Here is a 19,988-nt window from a genome sequence, read left to right on the forward strand (position 1 = left end):
TTGATTTTTTGGATTGTGTGTGTGTGTGTGTGTGTGTGTGTGTGTGTGTGTGTGTCTATCTCCTTCAGTTCTGCTCTGATCTTAGTTATTTCTTGTCTTCTGCTAGCTTTTGGATTAGTTTGCTCTTGCTTCTTAGCTCTTTTATGTGATGTTAGGGTGTCAATCTGAGATCTTTCTAGCTTTCTGATGTGGGCAATTACTGTTATAAATTTCCCTCTTAACACTGCTTTAGCTGTGTCCCAGAGATTCTGGTACATTGTGTCTTTGTTTTCATTGGTTTCAAAGAGCTTCTTGATTTCTGCCTTAATTTCATTACTTACCTAGGAGTCATTCAGGAGCAGGTTGTTCAATTTCCATGTAATTGTGTGGTTTTGAGTGAGTTCCTTAATCCCAAGTTCTAATTTGATTGCACTTTGGTTTGAGAGATTGTTATGATTTCAATTCTTTTGCATTTGCTGAGGAGGGTTTTACTTCAAATTATGTGGTTCCATGTGGCACTGAGAAGAATGTATATTCCGTTGATTTAGGGTGGAGAGTTTTGTAGAAGTCTATTAGGTCCACTTGATCCAGAGCTGAGTTCAAATCCTGAATATCCTTGTTAATTTGCTGTCTTGTTGATCTGTGTAATAATGACATTGGGGTGTTAAAGTCTCCCACTATTATTGTGTGGGAGTCTAAGACTCTTTGTAGGTCTCTAAGAACTTGTTTTATGAATCTGGGTGCTCCTGTACTGGAAGCATATATATTTAGGATAGTTAGCTCTTCTTGTTATAGTAATCCCTTTACCATTATGTAATGTCCTTCTTTGTCTTTTTTTGTTCTTTGTTGGTTTAAAGTCTGTTTTGTCAGAGACTAGGATTGCAACCCTTGCTTTTTTTTACTTTCCATTTGCTTGGTAAATTTTACTCCATCCCTTTATTTTGAGCCTATATGTGTCTTTGCATGTGAGATGTGTCTGATGATTACAGCACACCAATGGATTTTGACTCTTTATCCAATTTGCCAGTCTGTGTCTTTTAATTGGGGCATTTACCCCATTTACATTTAAGGTTAAATTGTTATGTGTGAATTTTATCATCACAATGCTATCTGGTTATTTTGCACACTAGTTGATGTAGTTTCTTCATAGTGTCATTGCTCTTTATATTTCATTTTGTTTTTGCAGTGGCTGGTTTCTTGTTTTATATCTCCATATTTAGTGTTTTTTTCAGGGGCTCTTGCAAAATAGGCCTGGTGTTGATGAAATCCCTCACATTTGGCTATCTGGAAAGGATTTTATTTCTCCTTTGCTTATGAATCTTAGTTTGGCTGGATATGAAATTCTGGGTTGAAAATTCTTTTCTTTAAGAATGTTGAATATTGACCCCCAATCTCTTCTGGCTTGCAGGGTTTCTGCAGAGAAGTCTGCTATTGGTCTGATGGCCTTTCCTTTGTAGGTGACCTGGCTTTTCTCTCTGGCTGCGCTTAACATTTTTTCCTTCATTTTCACCTTGGAGAATCTGATGATTATGTGTCCTAGGGTTGATCTTCTCATGGAGTATCTTAGTGGTGTTCTCTGTATTTCCTGAATTTGCATGTTGGCCTGTCTTGCTAGGTTGGGGAAGTTCTCCTGCACAATATCCTAAAACGTGTTTTCCAGCTTGTTTCCATTGTTCCCATCTCTTTCAGGTACTTCAATTAATCGTAGGTTTGGTCTTTTTACACAGTCCCATACTTCTTGGAGGCATTGTTCATTCCTTTCTATTCTTTTTTCTCTAATCTTGTCTGCCTGCCTTATTTAGCAAGGTCTTCTTCAAACTATGATACCCTTTCTTCCATTTGGTTGATTCAGCTATTGATACTTGTGTATGTTTCACACAGTTCTCATGCTGTGTTTTTTGGCTCCATCGGGTCATTTATGTTCCTCTCTAAACTGGTTATTTAGTTGGCAGTTCCTCTAACCTTTTATCAAGGTTCTTAGCTTCTTGGCATTGGGTTATAACATGCTCCTTTAGCTCAGCACAGTTTTTTATTAACCATCTTCTGAAGTCTACTTCTGCCAAATCGTCCATCTCATCCTCCATCCAGTCTGTGCCCTTGCTGGAGAGGTGTTGTGATGATTTGGAGGATAAGAGGCACTCAGGCCTTTTGGGTCTTCAGTGTTTTTTCATTGATTCTTTCTCATCTTCATGAGTATGTCTAGTATCAATCTTTGAGGCTGCTAACCCTTGAATGGGGTTTTTAAGGGGACTGTTTTTATTGTTGATGCTGTTGTTATTGTTTTCTGTTTGTTTGCTTTTCTTGCAATGGTCAGGTCCCTCTTCTGCAGGGCTTTTGTGATTTGCTGGGGGTTCACTTCAGGCCCTATTCATCTGGTTCACTCTCACACATGGAGTTATCACTCAAGGAGGCTGGAAAACAGCAAAGATGGGTGCCCGCACCTGTTTCTGGGATCTCTGACCTTGAGAGTCACCAACTTGATGCCAGTAGGATCACTCCTATATAGGGTGTCTGACAATGCCTTTTGGAGGATCTCACCCAGTTGTGGCATGGAGAACAGGACCCATTTAACAAAGCACTTTGTCCCTTGGTGGAGGGGGTATGCTTTGCTGGGGGGAAACCCATTCATCTGGGCTGCCCAGATTCCTGAGAACTACAAGGAGGAAAGGCTAAGTCTGCTGGTCTGCAGAGACTATGGCCACCCCTCCCCCTAGGAACTCAGGACCAGAGAGATCAAGGTTCTGTCCCTGAGCCTCTGGATGGTGTTGCTGGAGTTCCTACAGGGAGGCCCTGCCCAGTGAGGAAGGATGGGTCAAGATCAGACCTGAAGGGGTGCTCTGGTCATGGTCTGCCACAGCTGGTATTTTGGGCTGTGGGGGACACTTCTTGGAACCAAGCTGTCCAGCAGGCTTCAGAAGGAGAAAAGTGCAGCCTGGAGCTATAGAGATGGATGCTGCTCTTCCTCTGTCCAGGGAACTTAGAGTGTTAGGCAGTTATGAGTCCCAGTGCTGGCTGCTGCCCCTCCCACAAGGAGCTCAGAGGGCTTAGACTGCAGGCAGCCTTAGCTGCAGTGCTGGTCGCCCCTCCCTCCAGTAACTTGGTTGGCTTAAGCAGATTCTAGTTGCAAGGCTGTTGAGAATCTGTGCAGCTCTGGGGTTGGGACCCTAGGCCCTGGTGGTGTGGGTTCCTGAGTTGGATCTTCTTATCTGTGGGTTGCACAGTTCTGTAGAAAAGTATGGTTTCCCCAGTTGTGTAGCTTGCTCACTCGCCACCTCTTTTGGCTGGGTTGTTGGAGCTTACCTACCCCATGTGGCTCCCAGATGGTCTGGCGGATCACACTGATCTTCCTTCCTCTCCATGGATCATGCCAGCTGCCTAGTCAGTTCTGATGAGAGAACCTGGATACCTTGGTTGCTGGTGCAGGATTCACATGTATTATGATCCTTTTCAATGGGAGCCTCCAATTGCTGCTGGTTTTAGTTGGCCATCTTGGTCCCACCCCTTAACCCAAATTTAAAAAAAAAATTTTCCTCTTGTTTTCTTCTAGCACTTTTATAGTTTAGCTTTTTCATTTAGGTCTATGATCTATTTTCATTTAAGTTTTTGTACACAATATGAAGTGTTGAGGGTTCCTCCCTTCTTTTTTTTTTATTTATTTTTTTTTAAATTTTAGAGCTCACTGTGTTGTCCAGGCTGGAATGCGATGGTGTGATCATTGGTCACTATAGCTGAATTCCTGGCCTCAAGCAATCCTCCTGCCTTGGGCTCCCAAAGCACTGGGATTACAGGCATAAGCTACTGTAACCACATCCCTCCCTCCCCTTTGTTCCTTTCCTTTCCTTTCCTTTCCTTTCCTTCCTTCCCTTTCCTTCACTTTCCTTTCTTTCCTTCCTTCCTTCCTAGAATATAGCTATCCAATTCTTCCAACACCATTTATTAAAAAGATTATTATTTCCTCATTTAATTATATTGGTGTCTTTATAAAAAAAAATTGACTATACATTTGTAGGTCTGTTTTTGGATTCTCTATTGTCTTCCATTAACAATTTTGCCTATACCACGTTGTCTTTATTGCTGGAGATTTATTTGAGATATCTAAATCAGGTAGAGTAAATACTCTAATATTTTTCAAAGTTGAAAAACCCAAAGTCATTTTGACTATTCTAGGTCTTTTATGATCTAGGTATATCATAAATTTATGATTGGTTTTCCAGTATCTTCAAACAGGAATTCTAGGATGGAACTTTATTAGAATTGCATTAAATTTGTAGATCAATTTTGGAAAAATTTATGTCTTGATAATATCAAGTCTTCTAGTTCAAGAACATGGTAGAGCTCTTCATTTATTTAGCTCTTATTTAATTTCTCTCAGCAATATTGATTTGTGTCCTCAGTGCACAGATATTGCTAATATTTTGTCAAATATATCCCTAAGTATTCCACTATTTTATATGATAATTTTAAAACATTGTTAATTGACAACTTATAGAAATACAGTTGATATTTGTGTACTGACTCTGTACTGAGAAATCTTAATAAACATTTAAGATCCTAATATTTTGTGTATTTTCTCTAAATATTATATCATCTGCAAATAAAGACAGTTTTAGTTTTTCTTTTCCAATGTGTATGATTTTTTTCTTTTCTTCATATACTGGTTAGAACCATAGTACATTTGAATGGAAGTAATGAGAGTGGAAATCCTCATTTTGCTCCCAATCCTAGGGGGAACATTCAATTTTTCACCATTACATATGATATTAAATGTGAGTTTTAAATGTTGTGGGGAATTGATTCTGGATTTTTGATAAATGCCTTCACTGTATCTCTTGAGATAAACTTATGCTTTTCTTCTTTTTCAGTCACTAATTGTAGATTACATTGATTGAGTTTTGAATCTTGAACTAATCTTGCATTCTTGTGACAAACCTCACTTTTTCATGATGTCTTATCCTTTTCATATATTGTTGAATTTGATTTGCTAAAGCATTGTTAAGAATTTTTGCATCTATGTTCACAAGTGAAGTTGACATATTGCTTTATGTTCTTATAATGTCTTCCTATTTGCAGATAATGCTAGCTTCATGGCTTACTTATAGAATGAGCTTGGAAGTGTTCTCTCCTTTTCAATTTTCTGGAAGAAACTTGATATTATTTCTACATTAAATCTTTGATAGAATTCACAAATGAGGATACCTACTTAATATGCTCATATCTTTCTCTATCTTTTAAAATATATGGATAAAGTACTGATATTAGGTTGGTGCAAAAATAATCATGGTTTTGTCATTAAAAAAATTACAAAAACCACAATTACTTTTGCACCAACTTAATAACTGTTTAATATTCTTTTCTACTAATTCTGTCATCTGTTTCATTTCCATTGACTGGCTTTTATTTTCATCAAGGTTTATATTCTTTGCATATAATGTAATTTTCTATTTGATGCCAGATATTATTTTTGTTTTACTTTTGAGGTGCTGATATGTATATAGATGTACATACACATATTATATATTATATATTAGAAAAGGAATTAAATATATTATAAAAGGAATATATAAACATTATAAAAGAAATATATGTATAAATCATATATATACATATATTTCTTTTATAATATTTATGTATATTCTTATCTTTTTGTGATAACAGATATTATTGGTGTGATAACAGATCTTATTGTAACTATTCATTTTCTGAGATTCTTTGCCTGGCCTTGAGTAAATTTCTCATGTACATATGCATATATATACATTTTTAAAAAAATAATAATTAATATAATTCTATGTATATAATATACATATAAAATTTCTTCAAATGTTCTTGAACTTTGGCTTAGGATGCAAGTGACTTTAAAATCATTTGATCCTTTCAAAGTTTGCATTAAAGTTTTGTTAGGTAGTTCCAGAAACATTCCTTCTTTCTGGTTTTTTTTTTTTTGTTTTTTTTTTTTTTTTGAGACAGAATCTCACTCTGTCTCTCAGGCTGTAGTGCAATGATGCAATCTTGGCTTACAGCAGCCTCGACCTTCCCAGGCTCAGGTGATCCTCCCACCTCAGCCTCCTGAGTAGCTAAGACCATGAGTGTATGCCATCATGCCTGGCTAACTTTTGTATGTTTTGTAGAGACGAGTTTTTGCCTTGTTGCCCAGGCTGCTCTGAAACTCCTGAGCTCAAGGCTCCCAAAGTACTAGGATTACAGGAGTGAGCTACTGCCCCTGGCAGGAACATTCTTAATCTATGGCTAACTTTGCTCCACTAAGGCAAGGAAATACCCATCCCATTCTGAGCATTCTACCTAATATTCCCCACTATGGATTGTAGAAATACAAACTGTTGTTATCTTTTTGTGATCACCAGATGTTGTTCTGACTCTTCATTTTCTGAGATTCCCTGGCTTTGAGTAGGTTTCTCATATACATGTAATTATATATACTCAAATGAAGACTTAAAGAGGACCCCGCACAGATTGCCAAAGTTCTTTCTGTCTTTGCAGTTCCTTCTTTTTAATACAGCTTTCCTTTCTGGCACTCTTTTCTGCAAATTCTTGTTATTGTGGCTTCCCCTGCCTCCTCATATCAGGGAAGCTATGGACTCTGTTTGGGTCCCAGCTCCTTGCATGGGGCATGAAAACGCTCTCTAGGCTATAAACTATGGCAGTCATATAGCTCAGGTCATTGATTTCTCTTCTCTAAGAGTTCACTGTCCTTTACTGAATGATGTCCAGTGGCCATTGTTTCATATATTTTCTCTATTTTTTTTGTTGACTTGACTCAACTTTCCTAATATGAATCATCTCATTACACCTGCTATGATGCTCCATTCATGAAATGTAATCAAAGTGGTGTGCTGCCTCAATTTAAGGAACTGTTTTGAAGATGAGTGTGAATTTCTTTTGCTTAAGTATAAGTATAAAAGCAGCAGTAGACTATGTAGGTCTATTTAAAAAAAGAGAACCACTTAATCTTTTTAGATTAGGAGGGAGGTTAATTTTATTCCATCACTTCATCATAACCAACAGATATATTACTTTTAATGAGATAATTAAGTATATTTAGAGATATTTATAAAATAAATTTATCTAAGGGGAAAAATCTTGGATAGACCCTATTATTCCATCCTTGCTATGACCCCATGAATAGAGAGGAAGTCAAAACCTTTCCCTAGTAAATTAGGAGTCTATTAATATCCCACTAGGTTAAATTTCTACTTCCGGTCTCATGAGCTTATGTAAAGACTGCTAACATTCATGTCTTCTGATTATAGATTCAGTATCTGCTTTATCTTACCATTTGTTAATATATACTTTCAAATGGATAATTTAAATGAGATGCTTCTGATTGGTAATTATGTTTACTCAATGTGTTATAACTTACAATATATTTCTTGTGTATTATTTGATTCGAGTTTCATAACACCCCTATGAGTTAAAACATTCGAATGTTTTGAGTCCCTTTACTTAAAGAACTTAAGATGCAGAAGAGACATCAGTAGATGATCCAGCAATGATCTATAATGAGGCAGAACAAAGACTTGAATGGTTCCTCGAACTCCTGCTCCAGTGCTCTACCCACTTGCCTATATTTGTTATGCTACTTGGATCAAATGTTGAAACCTGTCAATGTTAAACTTTCTGGTCACTATATGTTCAATAGAAGAAGCCTGAGTCTTGGCATCATTTGTCAACTTACTTCATGAAATTAAAAGGTTGATAATATAAATTAATGACATAATATTATTCATCTTAACCTGACTCAACTGTCTGAACAATTTTGCTTATCATGATGCCCTATTCATGAAATTTAATCAAAGTGATGTGCTGCCTCAATTTAAGGAAATGTTTAGAAGATAAATGTAATTTTATTTTCTTAAGCAGAAGAGTAAAAGCATCAAACTATCTAGGTCTATTAAAAAAGAGAACAAATGGGATGCAACAGCAACACCACCATTCTTAATTGGTATCACAAGGAGCTGACCTCTCAAGCATAATTATATATTGTCTTAACTCCCCAAACATAGAAACAGTCAACAAATTGCACCCATATGCTATAAGGTTTTTTTAAAAAGTGTTCCCTTTAGTCACAAAGGTATGCATATTGCATATGATAGTCGCTAATAAAAAAAATGTCACCAGCTGCCTCACCGTCAGATAGTATTTACTACAGGAGAAGCAATCCATAGTTAACACTTAAAACTTTAGGCTTTTGTGTGACCACACAAATTATAATTCTCACTCTGGAGCCTTTTCTGGGATCTTTTAACCTCTCAGTAGATCAGAGATCAATGGTTAATAAAAATATGATCCATGTTTGTGCCAGTGATATAGAAAGATTAAGTTCTATGTATTTTCTGAAATAGCTAGACAGTTTTCTCAGATAAAGGTTAAAGGCTATATTTAGTATTAGCATTTAAACAACTACTTAGACACTTATTGATAGAATATCTCTGGACTTAATTGCACGTGAAATACCAAAAGTGGTCAGAATAATTGCAATTTAAGTGTTTTTCTTAAGGCACATTATTCGGTTTTGCTAGCTAGAATTAAGACACCTCCACTATTTTAGAGAATTCTTTTGATTGTGAGGAAAGGAAGCCTACTATTCAGACCACTTCAAGAAAAAGTAAGCAGAATCAGGAAGCCATTAAAGACCAAAATATCTCTAGAGCCTGGCTCGTGTTGGTTATCTCTTTCTCTTTCTCATTTCCACATATTCTTACTTTCATAGTTTCTTAGATTCTGTCTCTAGAAATTATCTAATGTCTTTCCTCCTCTGCTTACTTAGAGCCTCTGGTCCTTTACTATTTATTTTATTTGAGCATGTTCTCATGAATTTTACAAAGAACCAGCTCTTCTTTTACACCAGGAGTGACAGTTGAGGGAAAAAAATTATTAGAATATAGTATGCAAAAATAGGCAACAGTAACAGCTCATGTAAGTCTTCATTGCCCTCAAGGAGACTTTCTAGGTCATTTCTTGGGTATCTGACTTGTATATCGATTGTGTAAAAAATGTAAAATGTAAGATTTGGAATAATCATCATGGCACTCTTGCCAGAGAAGTGGTAGACCATAACTGAGACACCAAAATATGTAGGATGCAATAAGATTTACTTTAAGTATTTAATGAGATGTTTTAGTTGATTGAAATTGTATATTTATCTGTAAAATGTATTGATTCCTTTTGGTTAAATTATTGATAAGACTTAACAGTGTTTCCAGCATTATGCTTATAATTAAGGAGTCAAATTCTCCACAATGCTACATAAATCACATGAATGTACGTATTACCCATTTCAATGTGATCTCAAAACACTAAAATAATATGCTTTATACCAAGAGTTTGCTGCATATATTTGGATAATTTTATATGATATCATGTTATTATATGCTGAATCTTGTTTTATCCATTTCACTTGTGCTTGTATAGAGGACACAGTTTGTCTGTAGCCAGGTTTATTTTTATTCAGCTGCTGCTCATTCACTACTACAGTTCACAAATAGAAACAGATGCTTCCATGTGAACTTTCTGAGCAAAAGGGTGGAAACATTGAAATATCCCCAAAAGTAAGTGATTGTCATGGCATAATTATGACAGGCACAATAAAGTAAGACTTAGATAGAAGCAAAGCCTAATGCCACCCAAATGTCCTAATGGCACCCCAATGTATTATACTAATGCTACGAAGGAAAACAAGCTCTTTATGAAATGCCTTCTGCTTCTGGTGGCTTTAGGAAAAATGACTTCCTTTAATAGTTGTAAGCATTTTATCTTGTATTAGTCAAGTCATGAGGTCTGTTCAATAATTTTCCATTTCTCTTCTTTCAAGGCACAAGGTAAAAGTATTCATCTACCAAACTTTGGGTTAGACAATATCATGTGTAATGTGGGTTAGTTAATATCATGTGGCTTGCTTTAGGCTAAAGAAATGTGGGAAGTGATGAATTTTCCTCCAGATAAAAGCTTTAGAAGCCATAAAATAATTCACCTTGTATATTTTTTTCTGCATTCTTAGTTATCAACATGTGTATTGAGCTAAATACTCCGTTAGTCAGATCTTGGAGCAATTATGATTAACAGAGCCCCCAGTGAACCTGAAGACTCTTGGTTCACCTTGTTGAACATGTATAAATTAGAAATAAACTTTTATGTAATCCACTGAGATTTTAAGCTTTGGTTAGTGTTGTTATGACAGCATTATATGGACTACCTGAAACACACAGCATGACCTCATACATATCACCTCAAGGACACTCACCCAACAAAATGGAAAGAAATTGTCTTAAAAACAAAGAATCCTTAGAGTATTAAATTGAAAAGTTAAAGGAATATCCTGGGATGACAGGTATTGCAAAGGTATTTCAGAAATGGGAAAACTTTCTACTTTTGAAAATATTCTTAATCTTTCCAAATAAAAAGCATTAAAAAATTTGTTCATTATTTGAGAGTTCCTAGTACGTAAAATTCTAATTTCTTACTAGTGACCTTGAATGCTGAAACCCACCTACTTCATGACTCTGACTCTTGGGTGCACTTACATTTGGCTTGAACCAATAATCAGACTTAAATACAAATAAATAATTTATAAATGTGTACATAGCAAAAGATTATAAACTACTACTCAGATATTTCTTTTCAGTATGACTGCTAACATATTAGATATTTATCTAAGAACCTATCTTGTTCCTTTTACAATGCCAACATAACAATGCTCTGGTAGAGTCCCCTCCACCAGTTGTGGAAGGGTCATATTCATCAACTCAAAGAATACTGGATTCTAGCAATGCTAGGTACTAATGACCAATCAGTCCCTCACCCCCTCAAAATCTAGGCAATTTCTTAGACTTTCAAAGTAGAACTCATGCACGTTCTAACAATTAAATATGAGTTTCAAAGTATCATAGCATATTTTATAATCAAATTAGCTGTTCTGTGCTGGATAAGAACACTGTAAAACACTGTTTATTAGAGTAATAAACCAAGAGTAAGATATCTGTAAAGCAAAGACATCAAATGCCTCTGACCAGATAGTCTTTGGAATGTACATGAGTCTTGCCACCTACTTTGAGTCATATAGAGCAAAGGTAGTTACCATTTTTACATGCGCTGATGAGATTATTACTCATTTTTTCTGCTACAGGAATGTAATAAACCGAGTGTTTATGTCACCCAAATTTCATGTGTTGGAACCTAACTCCAAGATGATGGTAATAGAAAGTGGAGCCTTTGGGAGGTGATTAGGTCATGAAGACAGGGCCCTCATGATTGGAGTTATTGCCCTTATTAGAGAGCCCCCAGCATGCTATCTCATCCCTTCCACCATGTGAAGAGGCAGCAAGAAGGTAGGTTCTCACCAGACACCAAGTCTACTGGTGTCTTGATCTTGAACTTCCCAACCTCCAGGATTGTGAGAAGTAAATATTTGTTGCTAATAAGCCACCCAGTTTTTGTTGCTTTGTTATAGCAACCTAAATATTTCAAGATGTAGAGTGCTGCAGGTAAATTCTAAAACTAACATACAGATAATTTTCAAATAGAATATTCATCCATTTTCCTTCATTATTTGTACATCTTCAGAAGGCCATCAGGTGGTTATGCAGCCCATTTTAACTCTTAATTATGGCAATCTTTAAAGCTTTCTCTGCTCATTTTAACGTGGACATACTGATTTTGATTTTTTGAATGATCCTAAGTAATGCTTCAAATTAACAATACATTTTTATTGCAATCTCCCAGGGTAGATTGTTGCAAATCTTCCTTCCCTACCCTCAGACTTAAACTAGAACAAGTAAATTTTTATTACATTATTTTCACTGGTCATGTAGTCAGTGAATTTAATTTGTAGTGCATTAAATCATTGAATGAAAACGGATTAGTGAGAGTATGTTAAAAAAATTCCAGGTTGTGGATTACTATCTCCCATCTCCAAAAAACCAATTAAGCTCTTTTTCTATAGGTAAATTATCTATGTACTATGCTGAACTCTGAAGAAAATGATACTTTTAATGAAATGCAAAGAAATCACGGTATAAAATATAGTTCTAAAACTCTGAGAGCTCAAAGTCTTATTTGTAAATCAAGGATTGAACTTGATTATCATATCTTTGCCAAATATCCTAGATTTGGTAAAAAGCCCTATCTTATTATAATTTCTTTTAATGTGATTTCTAATAATTTAAACAGTGTAACATCATACATAATACATGTCAATATACTGTGCCAATATAGGATGTGATATAGCTATACTCCTCTTTTATATTTAAGATGTATGAACTCAATACATCCTGTTATCCAATGCAGCCAGGAAGACATTTGTGAGAAAAGTTAACTCAGTAACTCAGTACTCCTTCTTTCAAAAAAAAAAATGTTTTTTTGGGGTTTTGAGAATATTACCAAACTCTGATCACATTATTTTAAATATATCTACCTAGGCAGGAAAAAAAAATAGCAATTAAAAGCAAAAAGGGGTTTTATTATAATAAATGCGTTAAAGGTCAAAATAGTGAATAAAGAAAATAGTAAATGGCAACAATTGAGAAGACCTATATAGAAATAATTGGTACACATATTGTTGACTTTTAAATAAAATAATAATAAATATAGTAATACTGATAATAATGGAAAGAAGTGTCCAGTCTTACTAGGAACTTATTGTGCTTCTGTGGGAAAAACCTAAACACATCATAATCAAAATTTTAACAAGACTTCAAACCTTCAAAATGCTTTAAAGGAAGCTGCTCCATTTCCCCCTTTTAAAAAAGAAATTTAAAAATGTGAAAGCTTAGAAAAAAACAAAATATAGGCTGGCAGGAAGATATTCCATCTTGTTGGGTCTCTGAAACAGCGGAGGACTGAACACTTGTAAACACGGTACCTTGAGCAATAGTTGCCTTATGGCTTGTAGTTTGAGGCCAAGAATAGCACGATAAACTTAGAATGTGTTTATCTCTTGGCAGCTTCATTTTACTTGCAAGCTGGGAGGGACAAAGACCAACAATTTTCCACCTACAAAGTGCATCTAAACTGGCAGGCAGCTCAGTGAGTAAGTCAACTTGAGCCTCCGGATCACAGCCACTCTCAAAGACAGATGGACAGTTTTGGAAAGGGGGATGATTCAGCCAATATCTCAAGGCGTTTGTGGTTACAATGTTCTGGAGTTGGGGTGGTTGGGGGTAAGCTTTAATTTGGAGACTTCACATATGTTTAGTGCTATTTTAAGAGACAAGCGTTATGTGTGCAAATTTTTATAATTCCATGTTCATTGCTAGCTGAAAACAGGTAGGAAGGTGGCAGCATTTTGAGAACCTGTGTTTTATTTCCAAGATAGAGATAGCTAAACAATATTTCCAAATACTGTTTTATTCTGTTATTTTTGTTTTACTTCTGTCATAATAGTAAAGCATTGTATTTGCTTTATTTAATGGCTTAATGTCAATTGTTTAATGACTGATTATAAACCCAATAGACTTTTATGTTTTATTTTCAAATTGCTTAATTTAGGATTAGCATTAATTATATAAAGTGTGGTTAGTAAAAGACTAGCTCAGATGCTGCAATTTTGAAGACCCAGCAAGGGATCTTCTTGATAAAAGGTTCGAGATATCTGCTGAAGTTGTGTTATTTGTGTATTGGGGGTGTTATGTTTCAAATTATGGAGATATTTTGAGATCATAAAATAGAATTCTTATTTTAAACTACTAGATTCATTTTTTTTCGCTTTCAAGACATCCTCTTCTGCTTCAATACATAGATATTTGCCTAACATTATTCTGAAATAATAATGCTTAGAAAGTACACATAAAATCTTTCAGTATTGGGAGAGCTCATTTTATGAATAGAGTATGGTTCCGATTTAGTAATAAATTGGGAAGAAATTATTTATATTATCACCAAGAATAAAGAATGATCCTGCTCCTTTTCATAAAAACTGTGATCAAACAGAAAATACAAAATAATGTCAGAACAGAAATGAAATCTTACCAGCTGTTTGTTCAACTCAAGAATTTCTGCTTGAAATTTGTTTCATGTGGACTAAGATAAAATAATTTTTCCTGCTTTTTTTACATGTTATTAAAAAGTAGATTTGTGAAGAGAAAAGGCAATGGCCAAAGCAATAGATACTTAGACATGTCAGAAATAGATTCTAAGTAGTTCTGTGAATGACTCACCATGATTTCTTCCAGACAGTGGCAAATTAACATATTTTACACCCAGAGCAAATTTAATGCAATTAAGCCTGCCAAATTCCAATTTCTTTGCCTCACCACATGTCCAGGATAATTGTTTGTTTCCCCCCAAAAAATGGTTTCCTGTGGACCTCCACCACACCTCATGCTGGAGTTAAAGTTCTGCAAAAAATGGGTAGTTGTTTTTTCAGCTTGCACCCTGCAATCCTTACTTTGTTGAAGAGATCCAGCCCAATTTAGGCTAGTGCTACTATTTTATTCCCCTTTTATTGTGCACCTCGATTACGTCAACTTGTTCTGTTCAAATTATACCACTACAGGAAAAACTAACTCGATGAAAAAATTTTCTTAAAGTGGATTTTTACTTTTGACAAAACATGTCATTGGCAAAATGGTATTTTTCCTTTGAGAACGATTTAATATAGCTATTCATTAAATTTTACAAGCTTCAATTTGTGTTAGTAAATGATCACATGATGGGACACACGGGATTCTTCTGAGTCCATTGCAATTGTGAATCCAAATGGACATAAAGCCTCCTTGCTATTAAAGGTGGATCACTCCCATCCGGAAGGCAACTATGTTTAACTGAAATTTGTCATTCTTATTGTCAAATCATCACTCTTTAAACATCAGTATTTTAAGTACTCTTATATATAGTTGGTGGAGTCAGAATTGCACGCTTTTAGAAAGAATTTGGAAGGAAAGATGCTTCTGTATGATTTAATTTCCATAACACTCATAACCTTCCCTTCCTTCCCACCTCCTCATCCAAATATTAGAGAAGCTACAGCCTCAATATAAACAGCACTACATCCCCACCCTCCCTCCCTACTGCAAAAGGAAACTGTTCAAAATGAGCCAGAAACCAAGGAAAACAGTAAGGCAAGGTAGTTCTAAAAATAAATCCCCAAATATCTGTCAACAATAACGATGACAAAAATGCCAGAATTGGGAGAAGAGAATCAGTCATTTGGCTGTTATGCAGATATTATGAATGCTAGAAGAAAGGAGGCATATTGGTGAAGATTCTTATGACCACATAGTTGTTGGGAACACACATTCTAATGGGGAGAGAGAAAGATTCAGGAACCAGTTTCTCCAAAAAGTAAAATTAATCAAAATAGGAAATGAGTGCTTTTCTTATTTGAAGAGGGCACCCTGGTTGCTGTCACGACCACTGTTCATTGAGAAAAAGAAGAATATGTTGCCCATGTTTTAAGAACATGCAGTTCTGTCCAGGGAGAAACAGCACAAGAAAGTAAAAAACAAGAACATGCATTGTCATGGCAAAAAGGCCAAAGAGATCCTGAACTCTCAGCAGAAGTGGACTTTTCCTATCCCCCAAAAAACTAGTGATCTGTTGTTTCTTGCTTTTATTGTCATAATCTGACATAAGCATAAAAGCTTTGAAAAGTCTGAAAAGATGAAAACAAAAAGTTTCTTCTCTCTTCTATGCCAGGAAAGACATTCTGCCAACTACCTCTTCACCTAAAAAGGAAGAACCTGGTCCAATGAGACTAAGTGAGATGACTGGAATGTAAAAATCACTGTCCAGTACAAACAGCCAGTGAACATTTTCCATTTAAAAGCTTCTTGCTGCTGAACAAACATAGCCAACTCCCTTGAAGATTATTTTAGCCCTCATTGCCTTTGCATAAAGATTCCTCATGTTACTCTGAGACTTTTTATTACTTTGAGGCCGTCCTTTTATTACATTGCAAACAACCCATCTCTATTTGAGTATGATGAGAAGCCCAAGTCACTGATGTAGATTGAAAGCTTGGCTCTGGACTAGGCCATTGGAAGAAGGTTCAAATGTTTACCAATGCTTTTCCTTGGCTGTATAGTACATGCACCTGTGTTTTATGCTAAGAAAATATTTCCATCCCTAAGGATATTTAAACTACTTAAATTCAGTGCACAGAAGACAATTCTCCAGCTCTGTGTTAAGCAGCTGATTACTCTGCCTTTGTAGAGAATTCCAATCCAATTTTTGCTTCCTGCCCACTTTTATCCACATTTCTACCATATCACCCCAACCTTTGTTTTAGTTAATTCCCTGCCCAGCAGGATTTCCACTGGAGTAGGCAATGGAGAAAGAAATACAGCAATCCCAGTATTTCATGGGAAATGACCAAAAATTAAAATCAATCCCATTTTTAATTCTTATGAGTTTTGATTTCTAATATGAATTATGTTTAATACTTTTACCTAGACACAAAACTTAGGCCAATCCCTGAAAGTCTGTTCAATACAAGCAAATTCATTGGAAGTTAACTCACTGAAGGCCAATATTCTTTTTTTTTTCTTTTTTTTGAGATGGACTCTTGCTCTGTTGCCCAGGCTGGAGTGAAGTGGTGCAATCTCGGCTCACTGCAAGCTCCACCTCCTGGGTTCATGCCATTCTCCTGCCTCAGCCTCCCAAGTAGCTGGGACTACAGGTGCCTGCCACCACGCCCAGCTAATTTTTGTATTTTTAGTAGAGACGGGATTTCACCGTGTTAGCCAGGATGGTCTCAATCTCCTGACCTTGTGATTCGCCCGCCTCGGCCTCCCAAAGTGCTGGGATTACAGGTGTGAGCCACTGCACCCGAAGGCCAATATTCTTTTATTTACTAAACTTAAAAAAGTAAATTACAGCCATCTATATTTGATAGGATGGTTTCACTATCTTTTTTAATATTTCTGTAAAGTTTTTCTCACTTTTCCATTTTTCTTCAATACAATATCTTAAGGAATGCTTGATTTCTCTCTGCTCCAACAGAAATATATATCCATAAATATACATACATGAGGAGAATATTTTCATGAAGATTATTTTTGTGCAGAATGTATTTATATATTCATAGAGAATATACTGTTGAATAGGTCTTTGAGTATATCCTTATGTATATATTTTGAATACAGTTCTGTGAATGTATTCTTGTGACCTTCAGATTTTTGTTCTCTCTGCTCTGCCTCCTTCTGTACATCTTATTATCTCAGTTTCCTCTTTCAATTCCCCTATATCCTCTTCTCCAACCCTCATCCATAAATCCCCCTTCCAACCTGTCCCTAGTTAATGTGACCAGACATTCTGGACCAGGACAGTTCTGGTTTTTCACTTGTGGTAAATAAAATAATGTTTGTTAATTATTTTAGTGATTCCTTTTCCTCTCAAGCAAATTCTGGTTTGAGCAATATCTTACTGGGTCCTTCTCCCCCTTGAATTCTCTGCCACTGTAATCTCCAGTCCAGGATTTGTTCTCTGATAGTAGTCCTAGCATCCAAAGTGTGGTCTCTACTTTTCATCTCAGTTCCACCCAGTTGTAGCAACAAGTAGTCAAGGGGAGACAAATTAAGTACTAAAAATACTGTGAGGAAAACAAAATGAGAACTGATCAAATAAAACTGCAGGGAAGTTCAATGTTACTAAAACTATCCTATGCAGTAAAATTTACTATAAATTTGTTCAAAATAGTTAAGAAAACAAGTAAATGTAGATGATCGGATAGTTATCAAATGCAACACTGGAAAATTGTCTTTCAGAAAATTAATCCAGAGATGGATAAGAGGAGGCAGGACAAGAATCAGGAGCATTTTACACAACCTCTAGGATTACTCACCTGCCTCTATGAGAGAGTAACATCACTATCTACCCGTCCAACTTAATAATCATTCCTTTAAAGCCTTCAAAATTTGGTAGGCACAAGGAGTATAACATAAACTCACACAATCTAATAAATCTACACCACCATTTATTGAAAGCTTACTCTGTGTCTGGAATTATGCTATCCAGTTATCTCATTAATATTTAAAGTAACCCCCCATTAGTTATTATTTCATAAAGAAATCGATACTTAACATTTTGTAACTTGTGCAAGGTGACACATCTAGTAATGTGTTAAAGTTAAGAAGGAACCCAGGGCTGCTAAACTCCACAGCTGGTGCCCCTAAACTTTATTCAAATAAAATCTATGGGAATATGATGCAATGTAAGATAGCTATAATAAATAATGTATACATATGAGGTATAAATGATAAGTATAAGTTTTGAGCTTTAGTTTACATTTAATGATTAGAGAAATGTAAGACTTGTAAGGAAGTATTCATGGAAAAAATCAGGTTATCTGGAAGAGTGACTTTTTTGAGTACTTAGAAAATGGAGGAGAGACAAAGAGAGCATTTCATCATTGCTCTGAAGTTCATTCATTGCTGTGAGGCTCATTAAAGCCCTTAGCACAATGTCTGGCATACTTACAGCACTAATGTATATTTTAAATAATGTTTAATAATATTCATGTTTAATAGTATTAAGTATTATTAATACTATCAAACACTAAAATACCTTATTATTTGTCTTGTATTTTAGTGTTGTGACATGATATGAACTGATAGAAAACATAATTAAGATGGTTGGCACTTCCAAAATAATCTTTGTAGTTTTACAAAGATTTACCAGCAGAGTTTTGACGAAGTCAGACTCTTCATTTATACATTTATATAGAATCAGGCTATAGAGGCTTTAGCTCTTCCAGATGTGAATAGGTATATTTTGATTGAAAGTGTTGTGACAAATATTTCCCCATGTGATCACGTTTTCAAACACGTAAAGTACATGAATGTGTTTATAGACACATGCTTATGAAAGTGTTAGAGCAACTTTATCTCATATTCAGAATCAAGTTATCTGGGGGCAGGGAGAATTATTATTGTCGCGTTATCTCCACAGTAACTTAAAAAAGAGAGAGAGGGATGAGAGGAATTTAAACCACCAGGAGCATTAAAACAAACAAAGAAACAGTGCAAAACCTGAATTTAGATAATAATAGTTAAAGATTTAATTTCAAAATTTATTAATGAATTAAATAAGTGTAAAATGTTCTGAATCTCTTTTTATAAGTATAAAATATTCTGAAAAGAGATTTTTTAAATGAAAACTTATACAAATGTGGGCCCAGTGTTCAAATGTAGAAATACGGCTGGGTACAGTGGCTTACACCTGTAATCCCAGAGACATGAGAGGTTGAGGTGGGAGGATAGCTTGAACCCAGGAGTTCAGCTATGAGCATGTCAGTACACCACAGATTTTGTAATAAAGTGAGACCTTGTCTCTAAAATTTTTTTAAAAAGGAAATGTAACATTTCTATTCATGTTTTCTTATAATTATCATTAGACGTTACTCAACCAGAAAAACATTTATCTCCTTTTAAGTAATAGTAAATATTTTGGTAAAAGCCTAAAAATTTATTGTTGAAAGTTATAAAATAATCCTAAATCTTCTATAAAATTTTTATTTAAAAAATTTGCTTTTATTATTTATTTATTTATTCATTCATTCATTCATTCATTTACTTTTTGAGACAGAGTTTCACTCTTGTTGCCCAGGTGGGAGTGCGGTGGCGCGATCTCGGCTCACTGCAACCTCTGTCTCCCAGGTTCAAGCAATTTTCCTGCCTCAGCTTCCCAAGTAGCTGAGATTACAGGTGCCCGCCGCCATGCCCAGCTAATTTTTCTTTTTTTCTTTTTATTTTTTAGTAGAGACAGGGTTTTCACTATGTTGGCCAGGCTAGTCTTAAACTCCTGACCTCAGACGATCCACCCGCCTCAGCCTCCCACAGTGCTGGGATTACAGGTGTGAGCCACTGCGCCCGGCCAAAACTTGCTTTTAAAACTCCAACATTTCTTTTTAGACATCAAATGGCTTTTAAATCAATATTTTGATGATTTAATTATAAATGAATCATAAACATATGGATCAGCTTTCATTGAATGACACATGATATTAATAATGCAAAATGTTCTTGGCATAATGCAGTTTGGTTAGAGTTTATAAAAAA

At 35.4% G+C, this 19,988-nt stretch overlaps 1 long non-coding RNA gene across 2 annotated transcripts in view, besides 2 other annotated features; it reads left to right on the forward strand.

Moving 5' to 3' along the window:
* Nucleotides 1–19,988, forward strand: part of LINC02161 (long intergenic non-protein coding RNA 2161) — a 213,063-nt gene that overhangs the window by 162,959 nt on the left and 30,116 nt on the right. The gene's annotated exons all lie outside the window — the stretch shown is intronic.
* Nucleotides 12,894–13,094: a silencer, noted in NCBI's record as "peak5343 fragment used in MPRA reporter construct". NCBI's record gives its function as "represses an SCP1 promoter by STARR-seq MPRAs in K562 erythroleukemia cells {active_cell/tissue: K562}" and the evidence as "EXISTENCE:reporter gene assay evidence [ECO:0000049][PMID:32103011]".
* Nucleotides 14,104–14,304: a silencer, noted in NCBI's record as "peak5344 fragment used in MPRA reporter construct". NCBI's record gives its function as "represses an SCP1 promoter by STARR-seq MPRAs in K562 erythroleukemia cells {active_cell/tissue: K562}" and the evidence as "EXISTENCE:reporter gene assay evidence [ECO:0000049][PMID:32103011]".

The sequence above is a fragment of the Homo sapiens genome, chromosome 5 (genome assembly GCF_000001405.40).
Source record: "Homo sapiens chromosome 5, GRCh38.p14 Primary Assembly".
Classification (NCBI taxonomy): domain Eukaryota; kingdom Metazoa; phylum Chordata; class Mammalia; order Primates; family Hominidae; genus Homo; species Homo sapiens.